The sequence below is a fragment of the Homo sapiens genome, chromosome 8, assembly GCF_000001405.40.
Source record: "Homo sapiens chromosome 8, GRCh38.p14 Primary Assembly".
NCBI lineage: Eukaryota > Metazoa > Chordata > Mammalia > Primates > Hominidae > Homo > Homo sapiens.
In genome coordinates this window covers 99,853,132-99,877,715 of record NC_000008.11, presented here as the reverse complement: position 1 = coordinate 99,877,715, position 24,584 = coordinate 99,853,132, and the positions used below count along the sequence as shown (strand labels likewise).

The following is a 24,584-nucleotide window of genomic DNA, read 5'->3' as shown; positions in this document are numbered from 1 at the left end:
ACTAGAATTGAGTAATGTCTCCTAATGACAAGCAGAGTATGGTACTTTTTCAGAGGTCTTCTTAGGACTTTAATTCATGTTTATTGCGAGCAAAGTGATACTGGAGAACTTTAAAAAATGACACTTATTCAAAGCTAATTTAATCAGTAACTTTATTATAACAAAACCTGTATATTACCCATTTAAACTCATGTGTAACATTCAGTGATGTGAGCTGTATTAAACCCAGGTATTAGTGAAAATTTGCATTGTAAAACCTGGTAACAGTAGACATCTATGGGTGGTCAGTAATTCAAGGACACCTTTTATTTTAAACAATTTTATATAATTCATATCAATATGCAAAATTACCATAAAAGATACAAGGATTAATACATATTTACATTTTTAGAAATAGTTACTCTGAGGTTGACAGCTGTCACTTTTCTAAATATTTACAGAACAAACTGAAAGAGACATTTTTCATAGTCAGAATTGTTCGTTAAGTCTTGCTTTCCAGTAACAATTATATAGTGACTTCTTATGCCCAACATGTGAGAGTTAAAGATCAGTGGGTGTTGGGCATGGTGGCTCACACCTGTAATCCCAGCAGTTTGGGAGGTGGAGGTGGGAGGAATGCGTGAACTGAGGAGTATGAGACCAGCTGGGCAACATAGTGAGACCTCATCTCTAGAAAAAATTTTAAAAATCAGCCAGGTATGGTGGTGCATACCTGTGGTGGTGTAGTCCCAGCTGCTTGGGAGGCTGGAGTAAGATCACTTGAGCCCAGGCAGTGAGCTTAAGCTGCAGTGAGCCATGACTGTTCCCACTGTACTCTAGCCTGGGTGACAGAATGAGACCCTCTCTCCAAAACAAATAAAACCAGTGGGCATTTAAAATTGCATTCTCTTAGTATCTCAAAATTCTAGGTAACAAGCTGTAGCCCCAAGTTTAAATGTAATATCAATCAGCAAACATGCTCTAAGCTACTGGACTGTAAGAAAGATATTTACTGAACATTTAAGACATCTTGGTAACCCAAGATCTTGAGTCAAACCCATTCTTAGATGCAAAATATTATCAGACAGACACTGGGAATATCTTCATGCTTTGTCAAGTCAATTCCACAGAATAAACAAAATGGACTGGTATAATTGTTAGCATTAATATTGGGGTTCTTGTGTGCTCTATGGCATACCAGGGAGTTCCCACTATGTATGTTTTGTTTATGGAACTAGAGAAACTCACCTGAACACTTTGGGACTGGATTCAATATAGGACAAAGGATTTACTCAAAGTTTGCTTAGTAAAACAAACTGGAAGAAGAACACTTTTTCTAAAATGTACCTGGACAGTAATCAATCAATCATCAGACTGTTGTAAATTTTAGTAAAATGCAGACTTCAGAGAAAATACACATAGCAGCTTTCAAAGAATAGCACTGCAGTTAAATGACAAATGTAACAAGCCACAAAGTCCTAAGCATTTCATTTAAAGAAAGAATCCTAGGCCTTTGCAGACAAAGGAGCATGAGGCAAAGGTGGTGACTCAGCCCAAAAACAGATGCAACTTGAAGTTTTAACTCTGGCTCTCCATTGTAAGGCCTGGCCACATTCTATGATGGAACAGAGAGTTAATAATAGACCCAAATTAATTACAGTAGAGATTTTTGCAAGTGTCATAGAGCAAAAATAAATGCATCCTCTGTATGTGGTAAGAACATATAGGGCCCTGTTAATCATTGTCTCTAAGTGGGGAAGGAACACGTTTTTGTCACTTTGAAGTATCTTTTAGAGGTAAGGATGTAAATAAGGAAACTGTTGGCCTTGTGTCCATATCAGATGATGTTAGAGCTGCCTAGGCTTTTTAAAAAAATGCAGCCCTTTATGGTGGCAAAATGCAGCCCTTTATGGTGGCAGGTGCTTGCAGTCGTAGCTACTTGTGGGTTGAGGTGGGAGGATTGCTTGAACCCCAGAATTTGAGGTCAGCAAGGGCAATGCAGTGAGACCCTGTCTCAAAGAAACCCAAAAACTAAATCACACAAGCAGGAATAAACACCTCAGAGGGGACTCAAGGAAACCCTTTCCTCAGGGCTTTATTTTTCACCATGGTAAATTTACTAAGGAAGACCTGAGCAAAATGTGGATCAACCAGGTAATGGTATGTTTTAACAGTGGAGGGGGGAGGTTCTGCAGCCACCACAGGGCATGGTATTTGCATGGAAGAACAGCTGGGGGCCAGGTGACAAGATGTCTTTGTGATGTAGTCCACCAGTCTGTTGTACTGTTGCTCTGACAGTCTCTCTCGGACTCCATCTACCTAGGATCCAAAAATAATAAAGATTAGTTGCCAGACCCTTACGAGAGTTCCAGAACAAAATTAGTTCTTTTGCCTCGATATATTTGTACATTATGCCTTTTAGGTCATCTATTAAAGCCATTAATCCAGAATGTTTCCTTTTTTCCTCTGAGATATGGCAACGATAACAATGCAGTTTTAGCAGTATAACTGAAAGTTGTGCATGAGACTTAGGACAGCCTCCTTAGAATAAGCATTTGGTGTTGCATAAAATTCCCATGTTTGAAGTTGACGATTTGATAACATTCTACTCACCATTAAAACATCTGTCATTGTTCTTTAGCAGCCAGCCCAAGAAAAAAGGAGAAAAATCTTTCCTCCACATAAATCATCTATTCAACATTAAACTCAGCACTGAAATAAAAGCTCTGTTTGCCTAGCTCCCCAAACCTCTTCAGATAGAACGTCTTAAAGTGGAGAACACCTCTTTCAAACCAGTGGCTTTGGACGGAGCATTAAAAAACCTTTTGAACTGTAACATTTTCTGCTTTTCTAAATCCTAGGATTTAAAGCCAGAGAAAATAGAGAAGCTGGGCAGCGGAAGGGGAAATTTTTATGGAAAAAAAGAGGATGTAAAGTACATTTATTGTTCATAAAAGTCTGGCTCATCTTCAGTGGAACACAAATAGAACTGAGATACACTAGGTTCTTCAGTGAGATTTTCTGAGAAAGCGCTCATCAAAGGCAGCTGAAGCTATAAATTCTTCCTACCCTGAAGTCCTTTAGCTATCTAGTGTGTAGATCAAGTGGAGTGGGAAGTTTGCAATTGTAAGCCACTGATTTGTGAATCTCAGGTAGCCACCAAACTTTCCGTGGTTTTTGCCTACTGAACATTGGCAAGACTACTCTGGAAGAAGTGGTAAAGAAAGACTTGTTTCTAGTTCTGCGTGTGGTCCAGTAACAATGCTATCAAAGTGTCTTAAAAGCTGGAGAAAGTCCGTGCGATGGCAGAGAGATAGTAAAGAGGCTTGCTAGAAGAATAAGTAAGGAATCCCTTAGAGTTTGAATCTTGTGTTTTTAAGCTTGGGGAAAAACGGTCCCCAAAGATTCACTAACAGACGAAAGCTCTGCACCACCAGGCAAAAGCCAGAGCTCTGATATCATTTGATGGGGCCAGAATTCAGCTGGAAAGCTTTGAATACACAAAAAGTTTTAATTGCTCCTCCTGAACAGCAGCACAGGAAAACCCCTGTTGTGAAAGGAACCCAGCCAAGGACTAAATTGACCTTCTGACTCATTTTGAGCCACTCATAAGGGATTTCAATAATGTGCCAGGCATATTAAGCAGTTATTACCCCTAAACTGGTTGCATTTAACCAAGAAAAGCAAATGCTGACTTAAAAAATAAATCTCAATCCTGCCATATTTAAATGTACTGCATGATGTCATCTACAAATTAATTCCTTCCAAAATTCAAAGGAACTAGGCAAAAGCTAAAAACCAGAAAAGTCATTTATAGATCTTAAAATACTACTTTTAGTCTTCACTGGAAGTGTTCACGGCAGACAGGCTTCCTCATGTCTGTGGATTATGTTGGGATGCACTAAGAGCCAGACAGCTCAAGAAAGCTCACTGACAAGGCAGTGCTGCTGGCCACCCTCCCCTGCCCACTCATGTTGAAAATACTCTAGATTACAGCACTTGGGAGGGTTTAGTCTCAAAGACGCTCTGCAGCTTGAGTTTTCTTGGGGGTGAGTAGGAGAGGTTGGGGTTATAGACATAGGATTAAGGCAGCAGTTATTCCTATTAATGACTTCAGGAGAGAGAAAGTGGAATAGAGAAAGCAGAATGTGGAGGCTGAAGGCACACTGGCCCATCTACCTTCCAGCCAGTGCCGGGCCTTGGCTGTGCAGGCACAGTGCTCCTGCTCTCAGTCATGTCTTCCCACTTCTGTTTTAGGCATTCCTTAATCCCAACCCTCTTTCAGCCCTGGACAGCAGTGGAAAATCAGTGCTGAAAATGGTATCTAGAGCTTCAGTGTTGCTTCTCTGATTCCACAATCCCAATAATCTCAGCAACTTTTAGGAGTGGTGACTCCAGATACTATCTCAACCCCTAGGGAAACTGAGGTCTGTTTCCTTCCAGCTATGATGATTCTCCACAGTACCTGCCTCAAACAAAAATACAAGAGAAGGATCACAGTTGAAGACAGTTCAACAGCAAAAGAAATCTGCAGTCTTAATAGTTTAAGATCTGAAATATTTCCCAAGCAGCTAAGGAATCATGATGGTCACAGGGCCTTGGAGGTTTCTCATTAAGGACTAAAGATTTAATCGTAATGATATTATCCCTTGCCAAATCCTATAGCCAAATCACCGCTGCTTTACTCAACTGATCAGAAGATTCTGGCAGATCTAATAAAGTCAGCCTGGACATCTGACCTCTGTTTATTCTCAGAAAGTCATCAACTTGAAGCAGCAATGTAGTCCTGGTGCCAAACCCTAGCTTAAAGCCTGACTATGATCATGATCCAAGAAACTAGAGAAATCTTAAGAGTTGTTGTGGTTGGCTGCTTTCCATCTTCTCAGATAATTTTACCCAAACAGTGGCGTGAAGGAGATACACGCCCCCATCCCAGGAAGAGAATAATGAAAGGAGGGATCAGGCAGAACCTATTGGAGGTAGGTTTGCTGTCCTTTGCTGGGGCCACTCAGTCCCCAGGTTAGGGCCAGCAGACTCCAGTTTGCCACTGATCCACCACTATCTTGCTGTGTGGAAAAAGATGTCTATTATTTAGGTAAATAATTAGGATCTCATGGATCAGGCCATCATCCAGGAAGGAGGGGCAGAGAGCAATTTTCCAGTGGGTGCACCTGTTTTTACCCTGGGCTGGGCTACAGGAAGCTGGGGTCTGTCTGGTTGGGGCTCCCCCTTGACTCTTGACACCCAGTATGCCTTGCCTGCGCATCTGTTCCACATTAATTTATGCAGGCCAGGAGCCAGCCATGGAGCTGCCCCAAGAGCCTTAAGTATCATCCCCAGGGGGGATTCTGTGGTACTCAGGGGGTGGGAAACTATCCTGTGGGAAAGAGAACACAGCCACAGAATACAAAGCAGTGGATTTGAGAGAGAGACCACTTCACAAAATGTTGACCCTTGAAGTCTCCAGGTTTGGGGGTAGGGGAGGGAGTGGAGAGTCTTGTTTCATGATGCCCCTTGCTTCTGCATTGGTCCTTTCCAGCACCCACAGACCTCCAGCACCCTGCAGCCAGTTGCAGGCCTCAGGCAGCCAAGGACCTGACTTTAGGCTTTCAGACCAGGGGACCTCCTTTGTGGAGCAGTTGCGTGGAATTGCTGCCCCAATCCTGGCCCTTCCTGAACCAACCCACTCGTTTTGTAACTCCATTTTCCTGTCCATCGAGCACCCCAGCCCCATGACGGCCAAGCCAGATCAGCCTTGTTCAATTGGCTTGGTTACTTAGCTTTAGACCTTGAGTCCTGCTGGCCGCCTGCTGGGTTCTCCTATACAGGGCTTATGTGCATATCTGGATGGGGGCTTCCCAGTGCCCTTTCGCAGCGGCCCTCCGGCCTCTACACTTCCTCCTCTGGGTAGCAGCTCTCCTTGGTCTCCAGCAGCCACTCCAGAGGCTGCAGCTCAGAAATGCCTAGGTACCAGTGACCAGCCTGCTCCTCAACCTCCCTGGCCAGCTAGTCTTGGTTGCCCTGTTTTCTGAAACGTACCTCCACATCACAGGCCACTCTTGGCTGCTTGAGCTGCACTGTGAGTAAGTTGTTCTGCTTGCTGTCCTGTGCACAGTCGATTTCTGTGACGGGGAAGGCCTGCTGCTGTGTGTCCTCACTGACACTCACCACGAAGAGCACTTCTGATGTCAGCAGCAAGCACCCTTCATGCTCCTGGCCTGAGCCCCTCACCAGAACCACGTCCAGGGCCATGTGGACTTCTGGTCTGCCCAGAGACTGAAGCATTTTCCTGTTTAAAAGGAGAAAAGTGAGGCCAGGGGCCAGCTGTGAAAAGATGGTCACTTATCAGTGCTCATTATTTACCAATGGGGCAACCTCCACAAGGGCAAAGGGCCCTCACCAATCCAGTTACCCATTTTAGCTTGAAATGTAATTGTCAGTTCTCAGACTGATTCTGATTAACAGAACCTGCTTCCTCCTGGGAACAAAGATTTCCCTTGGTTTTGCTTATTAGCTCCTTTTCTCCCCATTAGAAATAGCACCTCTAATTAGAGTGCTGGTTCCACAGGGAATCTCAGGCCCTCTAGCAAGACTGGGTTTCTCTGCCAATGTATGACCTTCCTTGAGTGGTTAGGTACGGAACAGAGGAGTTGTGCAGCCAGCCCCAAACCTGGCAACAGCAGCCTCTTCCTGTCCCTCTACAGTGCTCTTGTGCTGCCTGAGATGCCAGTGCCAACAATGGCTACTCCTGGGCTCCCTGGAAGCATGGCCCATTAGCTTGAGAGCAAGCCAGGAGCTATTAACATACAATATGGATGTAAAGTTGAGCACGTATCTCAATAATTTTACCAGACATATTTGACATGGCTGTTTGGAGCCTGGTCAGCATGTAGATCACTTGGCTGATGGCGCTGTTTGGGAAGCTGAGAAAGTCCAGCTCCATGTAAAATACCTGTGGTAAGAGAAGTAAGGGAGTTTTACTACTTGTTTTCTGGAAAACAGTTTCATGCTGCAATGATGTCATCTGTTCAGAGCCATCCATAAAATGTTACAGATCCAAAATGATGTCACATCTTTGGAAGCAAGCGTATAGATAATCATTAAACATTACAATGCTCTTAACCTTGGTGATCTTGCATTAGTAACAAACTAAAATATGAATGTGTTACACAGTCCAAGCATAGACTAGCAATTAGAGGAAGCAAAAACACCGAAAGTAGCTGGTCATGAACAATAGCCTAGACATCATTTTAATTGATGTGTTAAAAAAGTCTAGATAGGTCTGGTGTGGTGGCTCATGCATGTAATCCTAGAACTTTGGGAGGTCAAATCAAGGTGGGAGGATTGCTTGAGTCAGAGTTAGAGACCAGCCTGGGAAACAAAGTGAGACCCCCATCTCTACAAAAAATAAATAGTGGTGCATGCCTGTAGTCCTAGCTACTCCAGAGGCTGAGGTGGGAGGATCACTTGAGCCCAGGAGTTGGAGGCTGCAGTGAGCTATGATTGTGTCACTGAATGTCAGCCTGGGTGACAGCAAAACCCTGTGTCTAAAAAAAAAAGTCTAGATTGTTAGTTAACTTCCTTAATACTTCTGTATCTGTGCTAAGGCTAGTCAAAAAATAAAAAACACACAGATATATACAAAGGCACACCCTTTGCCTAGATACACTACTTAAATGCTAAGCGACTTAATCCGGCTGTTAAACACGAATCCATATACATTTATGAGCACGCTTGGGGCCCCTGGTTTATGACATGCTCTCCCTGGTGCCAGCACCAAATGAGGGCACCCAGCAGCAGCCACATAGGCCTTTACATAGACTCTCCAGCACCAAAGATGGTACAGCATGTGTGCTTTCTGAGGGCTTGTAAATGTTTACAAACGACGCATAGTCATTAGACTAAGAGTTAGTGGTTTTAAAACCTTCAGTTCGGTAATAAAAGTTTTACAAGAGTGATGGAAACCAAAACGGCCATGTGAAGCTCTGCTCTAAGATCCTCTTACATAAGGGAGCATTCTTCAGCCCTGGGAAACACGGTGAGGGACAATGGCATTTTCAAAACCAAAAGAATTTATGAAGTATGACTTCACTTTACCTCACTGGAGTCCCTATCATAAGGGAGAGTGTAACTTTTCTCACTTATAGGTTATAGCACATCTTATTGACAGTTTCCCTGTGAGTGAACATGTCATTCACAGAAGGAGAGGGAAATGAGGCGGGCGAGGAGGGGAAAGCGAAGAGGAACACATGCTGGCGTCTGTGTGGTCTCTTAAGGATGCTCTCCGGATGGCTGCCTGAAGTGTGGGCACTCATTCATCTCCACTCCCTTCCTTTCAGACGCTGTTTGTTTTTATGCCCCGATCTGGCTGCCTCTTGTCAGGCCTGCTGAGGAGCAGGATGCCTCCCTAGAAACACATCCCATGGGCTTTATGGCCAGATGCGGATGCAGACACAGTGTGCTCACATGTCTGACAAACGGGAGGGCGCTTCTGTCGTTTGTGATACTAGCTAGACAACCTGCTTCATTACCAAAATGATGACACCAATTTTAGGTAAAATGGTAACAGTTCCAGCCACAGGTTTATGGAAAGTCACTTGAATGTGCTCTGCCAAGAACACAGAAAATAAGCCTGGGAGGAGGTGCTTCCTTTCACAGGCACCCATTACTCGTGTGTGCATGCGGCTGCACGGGGAGAGGCCCCGGCACGCCCCATCCAAGTGCAGGTACTGCCATGCGCCACGCACTTCCCAGCTGTCTGCCTTGTGAAAGGGCTTCTGGTTGCAGACCCTTTGTTTCTGCCCAGCCTGGCTGCGAGGGGCAGGATGTCCTCTGTGGGTGAGAAGGCCACCCACACCCAAAGACCCATGTGCACATCCACACTCTGTCTCATTCTCTACTGCTTCTTAGAGTTATCTTCCCACAGCCTCTCTCTCCTTCCACATTTATCATAGGAAAAAGTCTTAATTCTTTTCTCTGCTGTATTCTCCATTCTGCCCTCAACCTCTAAACTGGTTACTTTTCGTTACAGTCTATCAAGTGTACTGTAAAAAGATTCTACGACATATAGACTGAAACTAGTAACTGGTTTCCTGATTCTATGGTTTTATTATTAGTAGTAAAATTCTACTCTGTGTAAATAAGCATAGAGAGGTAAGAAAGATAGCCACTGTCTGCCATGTGAAAGGTTACACTATCTTAGGGAACCCTTGGTATAAGCATGCAAATCAGTAACGTCTGGGTTGGCCTGATGGGTTTTCCACCGACTTACCATAGCCAGTCTGTGACACCAGCTCAGCAGCTCCTCCGATGGGCTTTGTGAACACCCCCATGATTCCTTTCCCCACACCCGAGATGACACCCTTGGCCTTGTGTCCTGCTGAAGCCTGTGCCTCAGATGTTTTCTGGAAGTTCTGCATCGGCTGATCAACTATACCAGCAATTGCACCTGGAATAACAAAAGCCCTCAGTAAGGACAGAGGCTTAAAATCCTCGGAAAATGAAAGGCTCCATCTGGAACACAGTTTTATCTGGATTGAAAATGAGTCCCCACCCTCATTATAAAGGTCTTTACTACCCATTTGTTTACCAGTTATCTAAGTACACCAAGGGCAGTAGACATTTATTATCGTCATCAAAATACAATGTTCAGACGGAGTTTGGTCCACACAGTCAGGATCTGTGAAGTTTAGTTCAGAATTTAACAAACCTGTCAGGCTATTCAGAGTGTCATCCATACATCTTTCCTCAGAAGTCAGGCAACAAAGTTGAGAGAGAGGAGCTAACAGTTCCTCAGGAGCAGAGAAAGACTGTTCAGCCCAATACATTTGCACTGATTCATGAGGATGAAAAACTGGAAGGGGTTAGCCCCTTTCTAACTCTCCACTTTTGATAATAATGATAACAGTCATAATTTAGTAGTATTAATACTTAAGAGTAATTATTGATATAGTAATTATTATTTGGATTATAGGTAATCTATCTTGAATGCTTACTAGGTCTGGGGACTGTGCTAAGAGCTTTATTTGTATGAGATCATTTGATCCTCATATTCCTAGGAGTCATACATTGTTTTTATCCAAATACGGACACTGAGGCACAGAGGTTAAGGAGTTTTTTCCCAAGGTCACACAGCTGTTAAGTGTACAGAGAGTTTGAGTCACAGCATAGCTCTTAACCACCAAGATACTCGCTTATCCCATTTATAAAACAGGCTCTTCCTCTTTGCCAATCTTGGAAAACCTTTCTCTCTCACTGGAATTGAGGTTTGGCCACTTACTCCTCACTTAGAATAGCGACCAAAACCCCTTGGAGCTCTGCTCCCACAGCTGTAGCACAGGGCATCCATCTCCTGCACTGAGCCTGAGGCAGCTACAGATGAAAGGAGCCCCTCAGGCAGTCCTGTGGATACGGCCCCTTTGCTACTCCTGCTTTGAGAGGCCAACAGTGAGAGCTAGAAAAGTCTTACCATTCTGATTTTTTTTTCGTGATGGAGTGGAGGGCTCCCTATCTCAGAAAGAAGGGAAAATTTCTTTACAATTCTTGACAGAATTCTCTGTTTTCAATTCAAAACTGCTAGGAGTGATGAAAATGCTCTGGCCCCTGGTAGAAATTTTAGTGCATATCACGTCAATTGTAAAGGGAATGCTCTTCATGGACTCCTTTCCTCTAGGTTTTGACAGAGACATTTAAGTTTATGCATTGACAGATTCAGAATGACCTGAGGCAACAGACCTGTTTCCCAGCCTAGAGTCGTGCTGCCAAACCTTCTACAGAAATGCCAAGAGTGAGCAGAGGAAGCTGCTCCCGGCAGGCCCAGGCCACCCCAGCTATCAAGAGTGAGGGTCACTCTTTTAGTACCACAGACAGTCAGGCCTGGCGCTCAGCTGGGAGCACCCCTCATTTGCCGTTGATGCTCCACTCCATTTGGAAGATCAGAAGTCATAGTGGCCACACTGAGGGACAGGCAGGAACCCTGGGTCTTCTCTTCCAGTCACCTCAGCAGATTATCAAAGTGAACAGCATCAAATCAAAGAGTGGGGCCTGGGCCAGCTGCGGTCACCCGCACAGGGTGCTGACAGCCACCTGCTCCAGCACATGCAGGTATCAGGTGAGGCCCCCTCTGTTCTGCTCTTCCGTTTTCTCTGGCCACAGTGAAGGCTTCGGTTACTGTGGCTTTGACAGATAAGACTATTTGGGCAGCCCCCCAAAAGTGGAAAGCCTGAGTCCCATGACAAGGTGTTAGATTCTGAGAGTCAGAGAGGGAGCTGTGGAACCACCTGCCCTGGGCTCAGCAGCAGACCTTTGAGGGGGAAAGCTGGCCTGTCACACACACCAACACCTCACCAGCCACCAGGTGCCTTATCTACCTCTGTGCTCACAAGCTGGAGAACAGAGAGGCTAAGAGACCAGCAGCCACTTCATGGTCCCTGCAGCCCTGCTTTGAGAGAGGCAGCCTCTCTGAGAGCCTGGAATGGCTCTCCTCTGAAGTATATCCAGCTAAATCCCACAACTGGTAAATTATGGACTGTCATAGACTTAAACTCTGCTCGAAGGCTTTCAGGAGTGGAAACTGATCCCAAGACTTGTCTGCTGGCCTCAGGCCCGTGGGGTGGGCGACCACATGGAGATGGCTGTGATCTGATGAAGCCAGTGAAGAGAGAAGAGCGTGACTGGGAGGGGTTTCCAGGACTGAGTGAGTGCTGCACCCCGCAGGACACAGGAGCTATTGCCTGTTGTGCCTTGGAAGGCGCAGGAGGAGGAAAGCCTTCATTGTGGAGCAGGAAACCACCAGGCCTTCCCTTACCTCTTTCTGTGACTTGCTCCTAGGCCTTGGGCAGAAACTACTTGGTCACTGGGCTATGGAAGTTCCTGGTGATGTGTCTGTTTTGATGCTGCCTTTACCATGTGGTGTAATTTTGTTTCTGGCAATTTTTTGTCACACTATCAGAAGGACAGGCATAAAATGGGATACCACGCCACAGCTCGCCCTTCCAGAAAGTAACGAGACCCATAGAGTGTACTGCACATTCCAGCTCAGCGCTTCTTTTTTTTGACCAGAACAGACGAGCAAACCAACAAGGAAGCACTTTGCCAGTCATTCCTAAATTCCGCACTGACTATAATACACACCAGTCTGCTAATGGCAGATGGTGGTATTGGAGGGATGACTCTTAAGGGCTGTCTCTTGGGATGTGCAACTCTTGAGTCACTCCCTCGGAGGGGACTTTTCTGATTTCACCTGGCGGAGGCCTGTTTTGTTGGGATTCCAGATGGCATAGCCAAGAGTGCCCATGAAGAGAGAGGAGGTGGTCTCTGGGGAATCCAGCAGCGCATCACAAACCAGGAAGCATCCCAAAAGAAGTGGGGGTCAGAGAAGCAATTCTTGACATCCTAGCTTTGGTGTTCATGAGAAGGCATCAGGTTTGGGAGGAAACGCAGAATGCAGCTGTGATGCGGAGCTGCACGTCCTTTCTCAGTGCAGGCTCCAGAGTGTAGTAGAAAGTGAGGGTGTTGGGGAACAGATCTGGTAAATGTGGGCAAGGCTGATGCCAATACTGCAGGCTAAACGGAGTTTTTCCAAAAGCCGTTGCTCTTGGAAAACTGTCATGGAGCTCATCCAAAGGCCTCGGCAGCATCTCTCAGCCAGCAGACACTTTTCCCTGCTGACCTGGGGCAGTGCGGCTGGGCATGGAGCTGCAGACTTGCTTTAATTTTCAAGGGCCTCATAATGCTCCATAGTGTCCCCATGAGGGTGAAGCAGAGTCAAGAAGGCCCGCCGAACCCGTAAACATTTGGGGGAAATGTGTTTTTCCTACACTGGAACTTGCAATTGTTCAGTCTCCCCACATCCTGATTGTTTCCAGGCCTGGAGCCCCACAGGGGTAGGCGACATGGTGGAAAGGCCCAGGCTCCTGTCCTTGCTGGAGGTTTGACCTGGCTAAGTCGCTTTACCTCATCCAAAGTTGTGAAGCTATGAAGGGTTATGAAGTTGTGAAGGGTTGTGAAGATCAAATAAGATGACACCTTTGAAAACGCTTTGCCAACTCTAAACTTTTCCTTTAATATATTTTTATTAACTGGGTCCTTAACGTTTCTGTCTTTTTATTGAAGAAACTGAGCAACTAGAATATCTATTTCACTGGCATGGGTTTAAAACTATTATTATTACTATTATTATTTTGAGACAAGGTCTCACTCTGTCCACCAGGCTGGAGTGCAGTGGTGTAATCTCAGCTCACTGCAGCCTTGACCTCCTGGGCTCAAGTGATCCACCTCAGCCTCCTGAGTAGCTGGGCCCACAGGGATGTGCCACCATGCCTGGCTAATTTTTGTATTTCATTTTATTTTTGTAGAGATGGGGTTTTGCCACATTGCCCAAGCTGATCTCGAACTCCTGGGCTCAAGCAATCCACTTGCTTTGGCTTCCCAAAGTGCTAGGATTACAAGTGTGAGCCATGTACCCGGCCTGGATTTCAAATTATTATGTGATAATGGCTCTAACTTCAATTAGGCACTGCATTGTATGTGGCAATTTCAAACACCATTTCTGGGGAAGAATTAAATGGTGGCCAATCTATAACTTTCCAAAGTGAGGAGATTTCAGTTTGCTGTACTCCGCTCTTTGTTCTTCTTGCCACACACCTGGTAGTTCTAGGACCAGACATTTTGAGATAACCCAAAGAGTACATGAAACAAAGGAAGTCCTTGAAGTCTTACAGGAAAGGAAGCTGGTTTGAGCCAAGCTTGAGATGCCCACTGTGAACTCTGCAGAGTCAAGACATGGACACACTGCTCAGGGTGTGAGCTGGGCTGGGACTGGGGCTGGCCAGTGTTGGCAGGTGCAGCCAGCATCTACAGAGGAGGCTTATGTTACCCCAAGAATTAATAATCTTCTGGAAATTACCAGATATGCAGAAAGACCCCATGAGCCCACTGCAGTTTCCAAAAATGAATTCCCTCACATGGATAAGGATATGCAAGACACAATGACTACACCAAAGATCAGAGCATTATGACTTACCCGGTCAACAGGACCCACGCCCAGAAAGATGACCTCATCAGGGCTGATTTGTGACTCCTCACACAACTGATTTTTCCCATCAGGTACAATCTTACACACTGAAAACGGAGCATTGGCTGGGGTTTCTCTGACTGGGAAGAGACTGGAACCCTCGGGCAGGAAGGGAGTCGGGGGTTGGGGTGGAGACAGCCACACACCAGCCAGCCCAGGGGTGGGTCTCTCTCTCTCTCTTTGCCTAGAAGCTCCTATAAGGGCTGGGGTGGAGCAGAGTAGTGGTACTTAAGTCTCCAATTAATAGCATCAACAGGTCCCGAATTGCAAAACAATGACCTTGAGATCCTCAATATAACCTCATTGTCACTTCCTCTGGTTACAGCCACTTAATCCATTGGATTAAGTGAAAATATTACTGCCGTTGCTCAAATATTTCTTTTTGCTGAGGCACTCTTGGAAACCAGGCAACTCTTACAGTTCATTTGCTACCATACTATGATAATGATAGGTTCTGTTTACCAAACATGAGCATGGTGGCTGCCATATAACTACCCACTGTTACTTCTAACAATGGTATCACCAGGCCCAATATACAAAAGAGAAACTCAGGTTCAGAGGAGAACTTGCCTGAGGTCACAAAGAAAGGACTTGAACACCCTAGCCCAAGGTCTGGGGCTTCTGAGGGCAGGGTCCACTGCCACACCACCTTCCCCAAAGGAGTCACCATCACCTTTGGGTTACTGAGTTAAGCAAGAAGGTTGCTCCCTTACCCAGCTTGTTTACCACAGGTCACCAGCTTCCCAGTTTCCACATATTATCAAATGACAGTGCCCCACACCACTGAATGTTTTTACCTATATAATTTCCAGCAACTTAACCTGAACTTGTACCATTTTACCACTTCCTCCCAGAGCCTCAGCTAGCTGCAGTTGCCAATCTAGGAGTTCTGTAGAGAACTGAAGATCAGAGAGAGGGCGAGTCCTTTCAAACTCATCTTTTCTACCCTTTGCTCTGCACTGCTTTGGGTCACTTTGATCTCTGGGAGGCACACACTTCCTCAGATGCGCGGAAGGCACATTGCCAAGCAATACAGTTTTAAATTCTTTTGCAAACAAATAAACAAAAAAATCCTTGAAAATCCTGCCCTGCAAACTTTTAGCTCTGAAGCTTCCTTTTCATAAATTTTTTAAAGCAACTTATTTTCAAACATTTGTAATATTTTGAAATATGCAGAGCAATCTTCACCTCTAACTATACCATCTGGCTGCTCTACAAACAATAATTACTCTGAATCAGGCTGATCTCAAAAAAGTAAAGGACAAAGTGGGCTCCTCACTGAAGTTTACGTGACATTTGCATGTTGCTCTAGTGTTTCTCAAACAAAAGAAGCGGCTCAGCATGTGTGGGAGTGAGGGAGCCAGTGCTTCGGAAGCGTTGCCCATCACGTTCTTCAGAAAGCCAACAGCTGGATGCTGCTGTCCTCTTGCAGACACCACTATGCTTAGAGCAGGTCCTATCAAATTAGGATTTCTTTTAAGAACTTCAGTGAGGCCCAAGATACATTTCATGCACAAAGCAAACACAGGCGCTGCATGTGCGGCTGTGCAGGTGAGCCCCCGGCGGGACGCACTGTAGAACTCAGAGCAAGTGCCTTACCTTCTCTGAGCATTTCCTGGTCATTCCCAGGCAGAAGGCGAAGTTGCCCAGTCCTGGGAGACCCTGCATCTCAGCCTGCTGGAGTACAGACAGGTGGGAGGCCCCGCAGCCCCTTACCAAGCAGGCTGATGCCCAGCCGGGACAGGCCCTGTCGAAGCCCCTCGCCCAGGCTCTCGGGGAGCTGCCGCCGCCACTCCTCCTGCCGGTTGTAGTGCTCCTCATCCAGTGAGAGCCGGTCCATGTTCCGGGCCAGGCTTGTGGCGAGGTTGGTGATGGATGTGAGGGTACCTGAGGGAACAAGAGCATGGGGTTAGCCTCCTTGTCGCATACATGATGGACCCCAAGGCAGTAGTTTCAGAGGCAGCGGGAGCACCTGTGGCCCCTCCTGGACATGCCCAGTGGCAAGTGATGGTGGCTCCCTCTCAGGCAATTTGAAGAAAGAGCCTTAAGAAAAGAGGTAAACAACTGGGGTGGTGGCTCACGCCTGTAATCCCAGCACTGTGGGAGGCCAGCGCAGGAGGATTGCTTGAGCCTAGCAGTTCGAGACCAGCCTGGGCAACATGGCAAAACCCTGTCTCTATGAAAAGTTAAAAAATTAGCTGGGTGTGGTGGTGCACACCTGTAGTCTCAGCTACTCAGGGGGCTGAGGTGGGAGGATCGCCTAAGCCCAGGACGTCAAGGCTGCAGTGAGCTGCAATTGCACCACTGCACTCCAGCCTGAGTGGCAGAGTGAGACCTTGTCTCAAATAAGATAAGATACAATAAAATGAAAAAGAAAATGAGGTAAAGAGGAACACTTGCCCACAGGGGTGATGACACTCTTCAAAGGGTAAGAATCGCAGGTGCAGAACACAGCCTAGAGTTTCATATGAAACTATCCTTCACTATAATTTAATTTGTCAAGGTTTGGTTAAAACAGTATTGATGCCTTCACTGAGGCCCAATTTTGAAGGTTAAAATCTGCCTGCTGTGATTTTAAAGGGTAAAGTTATGTTGCTAAGTTTTAGAAAGATTATAAAGAAATACTTCAGCTTTAGGAATAAATTTTATTCCCTCCATATAACTTCAGTCATAACAAAGGGGGAGATACTAAACCTTATCATTTGCCATTCTGAGGATGTAATTATTGTGCCATGGAGAATATGTGCAATTTTGATATTCAGGATGTTAACTGAAAAACCAGTGAGGGGAATAAAGGGAGTAAATCATGTGAGAGCCGTGAATCTGTCTGGTTTTCCTAAGAAGGGCTATTTCAGCATTTGCTCACAATAGCCACAATTCCTCTAGCAGGTCTGCACACATCTTAGTGAGCGAAACTGAGCGACTTTCATGGACAGATCTGGACACTAACAAACTAGCTCATCTGTTATTGCAGGTCCAGTTTCAGGAAGAAATGCTCAATGTCGTTTTTGCAGCTGCATCTTTACCAGTAATCTGAAAAGAAAAATATCTGTGTGCGCACACACATAGGGATGCCAACAAACCAAAAAGATTTTGCTAAGAGAAGAAAAGAACAAGTGTAAAAAACATTCAGTGAGTCAGTAGGCTGAAAATACCACTGAGGTTCAATTTAGCAGGTGTTAGTTGTCTTATTTTAACATAAAAACAACAGAACCACAGAGATTCCAGTGTCAAGAGTGAGCAGTCTGCCAGTGACTCATGGGGTGAGTTTCTGCAGCTCAGCCCCCAGTCCTCCCAGATGATTTGAGGCCTGGGGGAGTGTCCTTTTCATTGTCCGTGGAATTTGTTTTTATGACTCTGGCTGTTCTCTTGCCAGCCCTCCCACCCACAGTCCCTCACCCGCTCTATGGATCATGGATTCTCCTATTTCAAGATCAAGTCTTCTTTTGAGGCCTTCCAGAGACTTTCACAGACCTGTCCTATGGCCTATAGTCAGATGCCTTTTACGGGAAGAAGCCCTTTGCCCTGTTTTCCTTGCCTCCTGCTGAGAAGAAAAGGGGACTCAGATGGCCCTTGTTAGTTCCCAAGTCTCTGCCAACCTGACCAAAATAACATCAAGCACACACACACAGATAAAACTAAAACACTGTCCTTGCGGGAAGCACTTTGGCCTCCATGCCCGATGACCTGTCTGGGCCACAAGATGGCACTGTTTACGTGGCGTGCTAGAGAAAAGTTGGCTGTTTCACCCCCAAATCCGCTTCCATGTCAGAATGTATCCATATCCTTAAGAAAGTTATGACAACTGTATCTACATTTAAAAAAATATGATGAGGCAACACAGTGTAGGGTTTCTGATGTTTAGCAGAAATCCTGAACACCTTTAATATTTCTGTGTTTATCACATGAAATAACATTTGAGCCAATCCTTGTTTTCCCAATGGGAGGCTTAAAATTCTGAAGTTTCTGAAACATTTTCACACACCAGAGGCAAGTAGTGATCTGTTCAAAACATAAGACATTATATATGAGCTTTGTTACAAACCCAAACTCTCACTGCAAGCTAAAAGGCCAAACAAAGCTAGAGGCAATCTGAATGCATTTAAAACTTTAGCACATTCTTTAAAAAAAAAAAAAAAGGGAAGGAGTGAAGGCATTATTACAAGGAACGGAACCCGCTACCTTTGGAGATGTGCTTTACAAACGATGTGGTCCCTCTGGAGACGCCACTCACGAAGGCTCCAGGGCCCCGGGTCAGCCCCTCATACGGAAGCCTGAAGAAGTCGGCGACCCCGTTCCCGATGCTTCTCACCAGGCTTGCAGGGCTGCCAAGAATATCCAGAGACCCAACTACCCAGCCTGCAACGCACAAGAGGGAAGGGGTGATTGAAACCTCAAATGCAGAACTTTCAACATTTGTGAAAAAGTGACCCATTTTCCCTGCAATTCATTTTTCACACTAGAATTGGGAAAGTAATCTGTTTCTTTGGAAGAAAATAAGGGAAATAAGTCATTCTCTGTGAATTCATAAATGGCAAACTTTCATACTTTATAAATCAAAGTGATCCTCTGACGGCCCCACAAATGGCTTTAATATGACTGCCTTGCCCAAGCCTCCCATATTCCTGCTAACGGGGGTCCATGTGGCGGGGATGCACTCTGCTACCACCTGAGGAAGGGCGCCTTCTTGGGTTGCAGGTGTTTGCAGGTGGGAGGTTCTCTCTAAAGCCTCCCCGGGACAGCGGAGGCACCAGGATAGGAGGAGATGCCTGGCCAGGGGCGGCCAGATGCTCAATGGCATGTCGCAAAGGGGATGCAAACTTCTGACAAGAATGGAGGGGTTGTTTTTAATCTTTCCCAATCCTACTGAGTTGAGTGCTTCCCTTTGGAGCAGAGCTAGACCCAGACAAATGTCTTGGACCCTTCAACCCCTGCTCCGGTTATGTAAACACCAGAGACAGGGACATTTTTTTTTTTTGAGATCGAGTCTCACTCTGTCACCCAGGCTGGAGTGCAGTGGTGCAATCTCGGCTCACTGCAACCTCTGACTCCTGGGTTCAAGCGATTCTTCTGCCTCAGCCTCCCAAGCAGCTGAGATTACAGGCACATGCCACCACGCCTGGCTGATTTTGTATTTTTAGTAGAGATGGGGATTCACCATGTAGGCCAGGCTGGTCTTGAACTCTGTGACAGGGACATTCTGATGAGGTTAGTGAGAGGGGAGTGTTCCCTTGTGCATGTCCCAGGAGGGCAGCTTTGGATCTGGTTTCCTCCTGAAGCTTGGGCTGGCCAGAAGCTGGCCTGCCACTCAGCCGCTGCTGCCCCATGGGAACGCGGCTGTGCGTGGAGTCTGGCAGGCACTGCCCTTACCCTGGCTCTCTGGGGTGGGGATTTGGGGCTGTAGGCCCCAAGAATTGGAGGGGCAAGTGAGGGCCCAGGAGAGGAGGAGTCTGAAAAGACAGCTTTCTCCGGGAAGCCACTGACCTCCCCAGCCTGGTGCTCAGAGCCCGGTAATGGGAAGGCTGTGGGGACAGGACTGGGTGGGAGCCATCCCTCCTTCACCAGCAGGCTCTGAAGAGGAGGACAGTCCTGTGACAGAGATCCTCAGCTCAGCGATCTGAGGGGATCAGGAAGGTGAGGGTACAACAGCCACGCCAAGGTCCCGAAGAATCCCATGCCCAGCCCACGAAGAGAGGGACGCTCTTAAATTTTGAGCCCTCCTCCCTTCTCTGGAACGTTAGGATGATAACACTAGGGTTTAGGGCAAAGGAGGGAATAATTTCTGGAAGATAAAGATTACAAATGAGAGGCCCTATGGATGCCAGGCATTCAACACATTTAATTCTCACGGTAACTGCAAGAAAAGTATTCTCTCCCTTCAAATCAGTGCAGGCTAACTGGTGACTGAGCTGCTGTCTGGGTCAGGGAATGGACCAGGCACAGGAGGCAGAGGTGAATGCAACATGGTGGTACTGCTTCCACGGCCTCACAGGCAGGAAAAGGAGGAGACTGAGGCTTGGAGACTAAGCCAACTGCTCACAGTCCCCTGGATGATCCACCTGTGGGCTGGGTTTCCAACCCAGGTTTTCCTAATTCTGAAGCTCACCCACCTCTTTCTTCTGTGAGCTCAGGCTGCAAAGAGTAGGCGAGGGAGCTGGGGAGGCTGTGGAATATTCCTCCATGGAGGGCCTTCTCTGGAGGTAAAGAAACAGCAGATTCCCTTTAGCCCTGAATGGCTGTAAGGGTGTACCTAACGGCAGAAGGTTGGTCTAGAAACATCTTAATTCCCCATCTCTCCACGGAGTCCATGTATAAAAGAAAGGAGTAGCAGCTATGGCCAAGCAGTGTCCCCCACGACAGGCCTGTTCAGGTCGGTGCCGTGGGCGTAGAGAGGGAGTGGGAATCCGCCTCGGCCTCTTGCTCCTGCCAGTGGCAGGTCCTCCCCTGTCGTGGGGTTGGAACCCTTGAATCCTGAAGCCACTGCCTGATAGAAGGGCTATGTGTAGGCCAGAGCTACATCTCAGTGACATCTTAGCTGGTCAGAAAAGGGCAGACAGATCCAAGGGTACTCCTTTATTGCCCTTCAAAAGCAAATCTATCTTTTGCTCAGTCGTTTGGAAATTGGTTGAAGAAGGGAGTCTGCCTGGCTCCCAACAAACTGAGACTTTGGGTTAGAGAGGGGCCTCAGGATAAAGACCACATGCTTTCCTTCAGATAGGGTCAGTTACTGATTTCCAATTACTATTTATTTTTATTCTGCCTCTCCCACCCATACTTTTTTATTTTTAGTTGTTTAATTTTTAAATATTTTTTATGTTTTTGGAGATGGAGTCTCGCTCTGTTGTCCAGGTTGGAGTGCAGTGGTGCAGTCTTGGCTCACTGCAACCTCTGCCTCCCAGGTTCAAGCAATTCACCTGCCTCAGCCTCCCAAGTAGCTGGGACTACAGGTGCATGCCCCCACACCTGGCTAATTTTTTGTATTTTAGTAGAGACAGGGTTTCACCATGTTGCCCAGGCTGGTCTTGAACTCCTGAGCACAGGCAATTCGCCCACCTCGGCCTCCCAAAGTGCTGGGATTACAGGCGTGAGCCACTGCGCCCGGCCTGTTTCTTTATTTTTAAAACCTCTTCAAGTTGATACCACAACTTCCCTAGAAATGAGGTCAGGGTGTTTTCCATGACAGGCAGGGGCACTCTGACTCAAGTGAGATGTGGGTGGGCAACTTGCCCACCTGCAGCCAGCTCTCTCCCTTCCCTCGACAAGGATGCTAACCTGGGAGTCTGGAGCCTCCAGCATCTTCCCATTTCCTACTCCTTCAATCACTGCTTTCTTTCAGATGGTCTTCAGATTGTCCATAGATTTTTAGTGACAGAGTTTCCAACAGGCTCTGAAAACTTGGCCCTCTATATTAGAATCCCTTATCTTGGTATACAGTGAGATTGGAACGGCAGCTTAGAGGATTTTTGGGTGAATTCTATAAAATTCAAATAGAATGTTCTTGTGAAAGCTCATTAAAAATATAAACCAAAACAAAGAGAGCTCGTTTTTAGCACACGGGCTGCAGGGCCCGTTACTTGGTGCCACAGGTAGAGTTTCCCTGCTGCTTACTGCACTGCTGCGTCGTGCAGAGACTGAATGGGAGCCTTCGTCCTTGCCAGGCCTCAGATTGGAGCTCAGTAACCTACGTGCCTGCTTCTTATGTGAAAAAGCAAAGGCTGCCTGAAGGGAAAGTTTCTGGAACTGTTTATAAATACACCCATCTATTAAACTTGAAATGTGGACTGCTTATTTTTAAATGAGTTTTTAGCAATAGGGAAATGTTTTCTTCATTGTTGTGCAAGCTATCAAGACAACAGGTCTGGCAGGACCCTCTCCCTGATCTTGTTGTTATCTTTTATAAAAGAGTCTAGATAACCCTAGTAAGTCTATGAATTTCATTATGGAGAAAATGTAATCTGACCAATATGGCAATAACACAGGTCGTTTACTGCTGCAATCTTAATCTTACATGGGAACGCATTCACAAAGTACAACTTTACAAAGAGGATAGAACAAAGGCTCTCTCCTCTGTTACTTTCAGAAAGTAAGATTTCCATGTTCTTTATTGGAAAGGGCTGACAAGGCTAACTCTGGATGCTGTTCTTTGCTTGAATTTCTGGGAACCCAATTATCAAATTAAAACTGCTTTAGAGTGAACCTGGCTCAAGAACACACACTGTGATGCCGATTACCATAACGTACCCTGAGACCACATGGTTCCCACCACTCAATCTTATTTTTTGGGACAAGGTCTTGCTCTGTCACCCCGGCTGGAGTGTAGTGATGTGATCATAGCTCACTGTAGCCTCAAAGTCCTGGGCTCGAGCAATCCTCCCACCTCAGCCTCAGTAGTAGCTGGGACTACAGGTGCACGACACCACACCTGGGTAATTTTTTAAACTTTAATTTTTTATAGAGACAAGGTTTCACCAGTTGGCCAAGCTGGTCTTGAACTCCCGTGCTCAAGTGATCCTCCCACCTCAGCCTCCCAAAGTGCTGGGATTACAGGTGTGAGCCACTGCGCCTGCTATCCACCAGTTGCTAGTACACAGTAGTCCCTCTATAAAATTTTGTATGCATGTTCAAACCACCCCCTGCAGACTTTTCCAGCCAGACTGAAAAGGGAATCCTTACTTTTCCCACTGAGTCCCTGAGAAACAGCAGCCCTCAGCCTGCAAGAGGCCACCTGCCTGGCCCCAGAGAGTGGATGGGCCATTCCTTCTCTTTGAGCTCAGGTCTGTGGAGAGGCTGACACACTCACAGCCTTCCCTTTGCCAGCTATATAGACAGGCAGTGCAGCACTGGGTAGATAGAGGGCTCAATGTGCATCTTACAAGCACACAAATCCTCTGAATTTCTCACCTACCGCTATTCATAAATAGCAATGAAGAAAATAAACGAGAACTGGACTCCTTTTAGGCCGAGGGACTGAAGACCTGGGCTAGTTTTCCTAGTTGCTCTAGTGTGCTAAGAAAGGGCTCTGTGCCTGCAAGTTGCTAAAAAAAAGTGTGTGCTAAACTGAACTAAAATTCTAAGTTACAGAACAGCTACTACTGCTTGAATGTTTATTGAGTGGCAAGCAAAATGCTGGGTACCTCACGTACTTTCATCTGATCCTCTCAGAAATCTTCAAAGCCATTTTATCGATGAGGAAATGGAGACTCAGGAAGGTTCAATAACTTGCCCAAAGTCTTACAGCTAACAGTGGCAGGCTCTAGATTTAGATCCAGTTCTGTGTAACTGTAGAGCTCAGGTGTGTCACCTCTTGCCAATTGCTTCTTTAGGTCTTGAAATGAGGTGCTACCCCCAAGCGTGTCATTTCTACCCGGGCTCTAGCTCATCACAGACCCTCAGCTTGTGTTCTTACCTGCTCTAAAAAGGGCCCCAGCGGCATAGTGCATTGCCAGGGCGTGCACAAGCTGCCTCGCAGTGGTGAAGATGGGTCCTCTTTCAAACACCGAGAAGGAGAGAGGAGTGTGGTCTGAGGCTATGTACAGCTTGAGGGAAGCGTGGATGCTGACGAGCAAATTTACTGGCTGGATCACCAGTTTCCGTAACTTCACAGGATTCACCAAGGCCCTGGCGTGCTGTGTGACCTGCATGGGCAACACCTGTTTACCCCCGGAGAGGTGTGTGGAGTGACCAGCCAACCTGCTGTTAGGAAGGTAGGTGTCAAACAAAGTCTTGATGTAGTATACAAATGTGTCTTCCACGTATAACCGAGCAGGTTTTAATTCAAAGCTGAACTCATTAATATCACAGAGGATGCTCTTGCCTTCATTTAAGGTGATGCAAAGTTTGATAAAACATTTTTCCTTGTATTCTTCCAACTCTTTGTTGGATATGAGGAGACTCTGCATTTTGGAACACTGAATGGGTTCTGCTTTTTCTCCCTGGCAGACTAAGACAGCAAAGTGGAAATTGGACTTGTTATAAAGCTGGTTGTCTAGCTGCAGGTCCCCACAGCAGATCTCCACACAGTAAAGTTCAAACAACGCAGCCACAGGCTCTTCCCCAGGGAGGGGACCAGCTCCCGGGGCCACACAGAGAAAAATGTTGTCCAGTGTGAGTCTCAGAAGCTCAGCTGATGCTTTGTGGTGGGTGAGGTCATCAAACACTGCCAGGCTTAACTGAGTGATGAACATTTTAAATGTAACAATCTTCTCTGGCGCTCTAGAGGAGAAAGGGACAAGAACATTAGTCCCCCCACTCACCTTTTCTTTCTCTCTTCTTTCTTTTTTATTGACAGTACCCTATTAAATACCTCCTGATGGGACATCAGATTCTCATAAGAAACAAATAAGAACTCAACTTTCAGTACATTGTGTCTGGACGGAGTCAGTCACACTCCAACAGTATTGGGAAATGTTCCCAATGGGACTATTACAAGCTCTTGTCATGTTTCCTTATGTTTCCCTTATCAACACCAGATTTTTACCCCAAAATCCCTCTAGTCTTTGTGTACTAATTCTCTATCATGATGATCACAAGA

At 46.2% G+C, this 24,584-nt stretch overlaps 1 protein-coding gene across 2 annotated transcripts in view, besides 3 other annotated features; it reads right to left on the bottom strand.

Moving 5' to 3' along the window:
* VPS13B (vacuolar protein sorting 13 homolog B) overlaps positions 136–24,584 on the bottom strand; it is an 864,307-nt gene continuing 839,858 nt past the window's right edge. For both annotated transcript variants that reach the window (NM_152564.5, NM_017890.5), the window contains exons 56-62: positions 23,460–24,265; positions 18,236–18,412; positions 15,770–15,940; positions 9,251–9,427; positions 6,829–6,931; positions 6,019–6,268; positions 136–2,298 (exon numbers count right to left, since the gene is read on the bottom strand). In NM_152564.5, coding sequence (NP_689777.3) covers positions 2,050–2,298; positions 6,019–6,268; positions 6,829–6,931; positions 9,251–9,427; positions 15,770–15,940; positions 18,236–18,412; positions 23,460–24,265 — 1,933 coding nt within the window. In that variant the 3' untranslated portion in view covers positions 136–2,049. The remainder of the gene's footprint in view (positions 2,299–6,018; positions 6,269–6,828; positions 6,932–9,250; positions 9,428–15,769; positions 15,941–18,235; positions 18,413–23,459; positions 24,266–24,584) is intronic.
* Positions 5,820–6,320: an enhancer, noted in NCBI's record as "H3K4me1 hESC enhancer chr8:100883624-100884124 (GRCh37/hg19 assembly coordinates)". NCBI's record gives its function as "activates a minimal SCP1, AML or CMV promoter by ChIP-STARR-seq in naive H9 embryonic stem cells {active_cell/tissue: H9 hESC(naive)}" and the evidence as "EXISTENCE:reporter gene assay evidence [ECO:0000049][PMID:30033119]".
* Positions 8,666–9,173: an enhancer, noted in NCBI's record as "H3K4me1 hESC enhancer chr8:100880771-100881278 (GRCh37/hg19 assembly coordinates)". NCBI's record gives its function as "activates a minimal SCP1, AML or CMV promoter by ChIP-STARR-seq in primed H9 embryonic stem cells {active_cell/tissue: H9 hESC(primed)}" and the evidence as "EXISTENCE:reporter gene assay evidence [ECO:0000049][PMID:30033119]".
* Positions 17,828–18,327: an enhancer, noted in NCBI's record as "H3K4me1 hESC enhancer chr8:100871617-100872116 (GRCh37/hg19 assembly coordinates)". NCBI's record gives its function as "activates a minimal SCP1, AML or CMV promoter by ChIP-STARR-seq in naive H9 embryonic stem cells {active_cell/tissue: H9 hESC(naive)}" and the evidence as "EXISTENCE:reporter gene assay evidence [ECO:0000049][PMID:30033119]".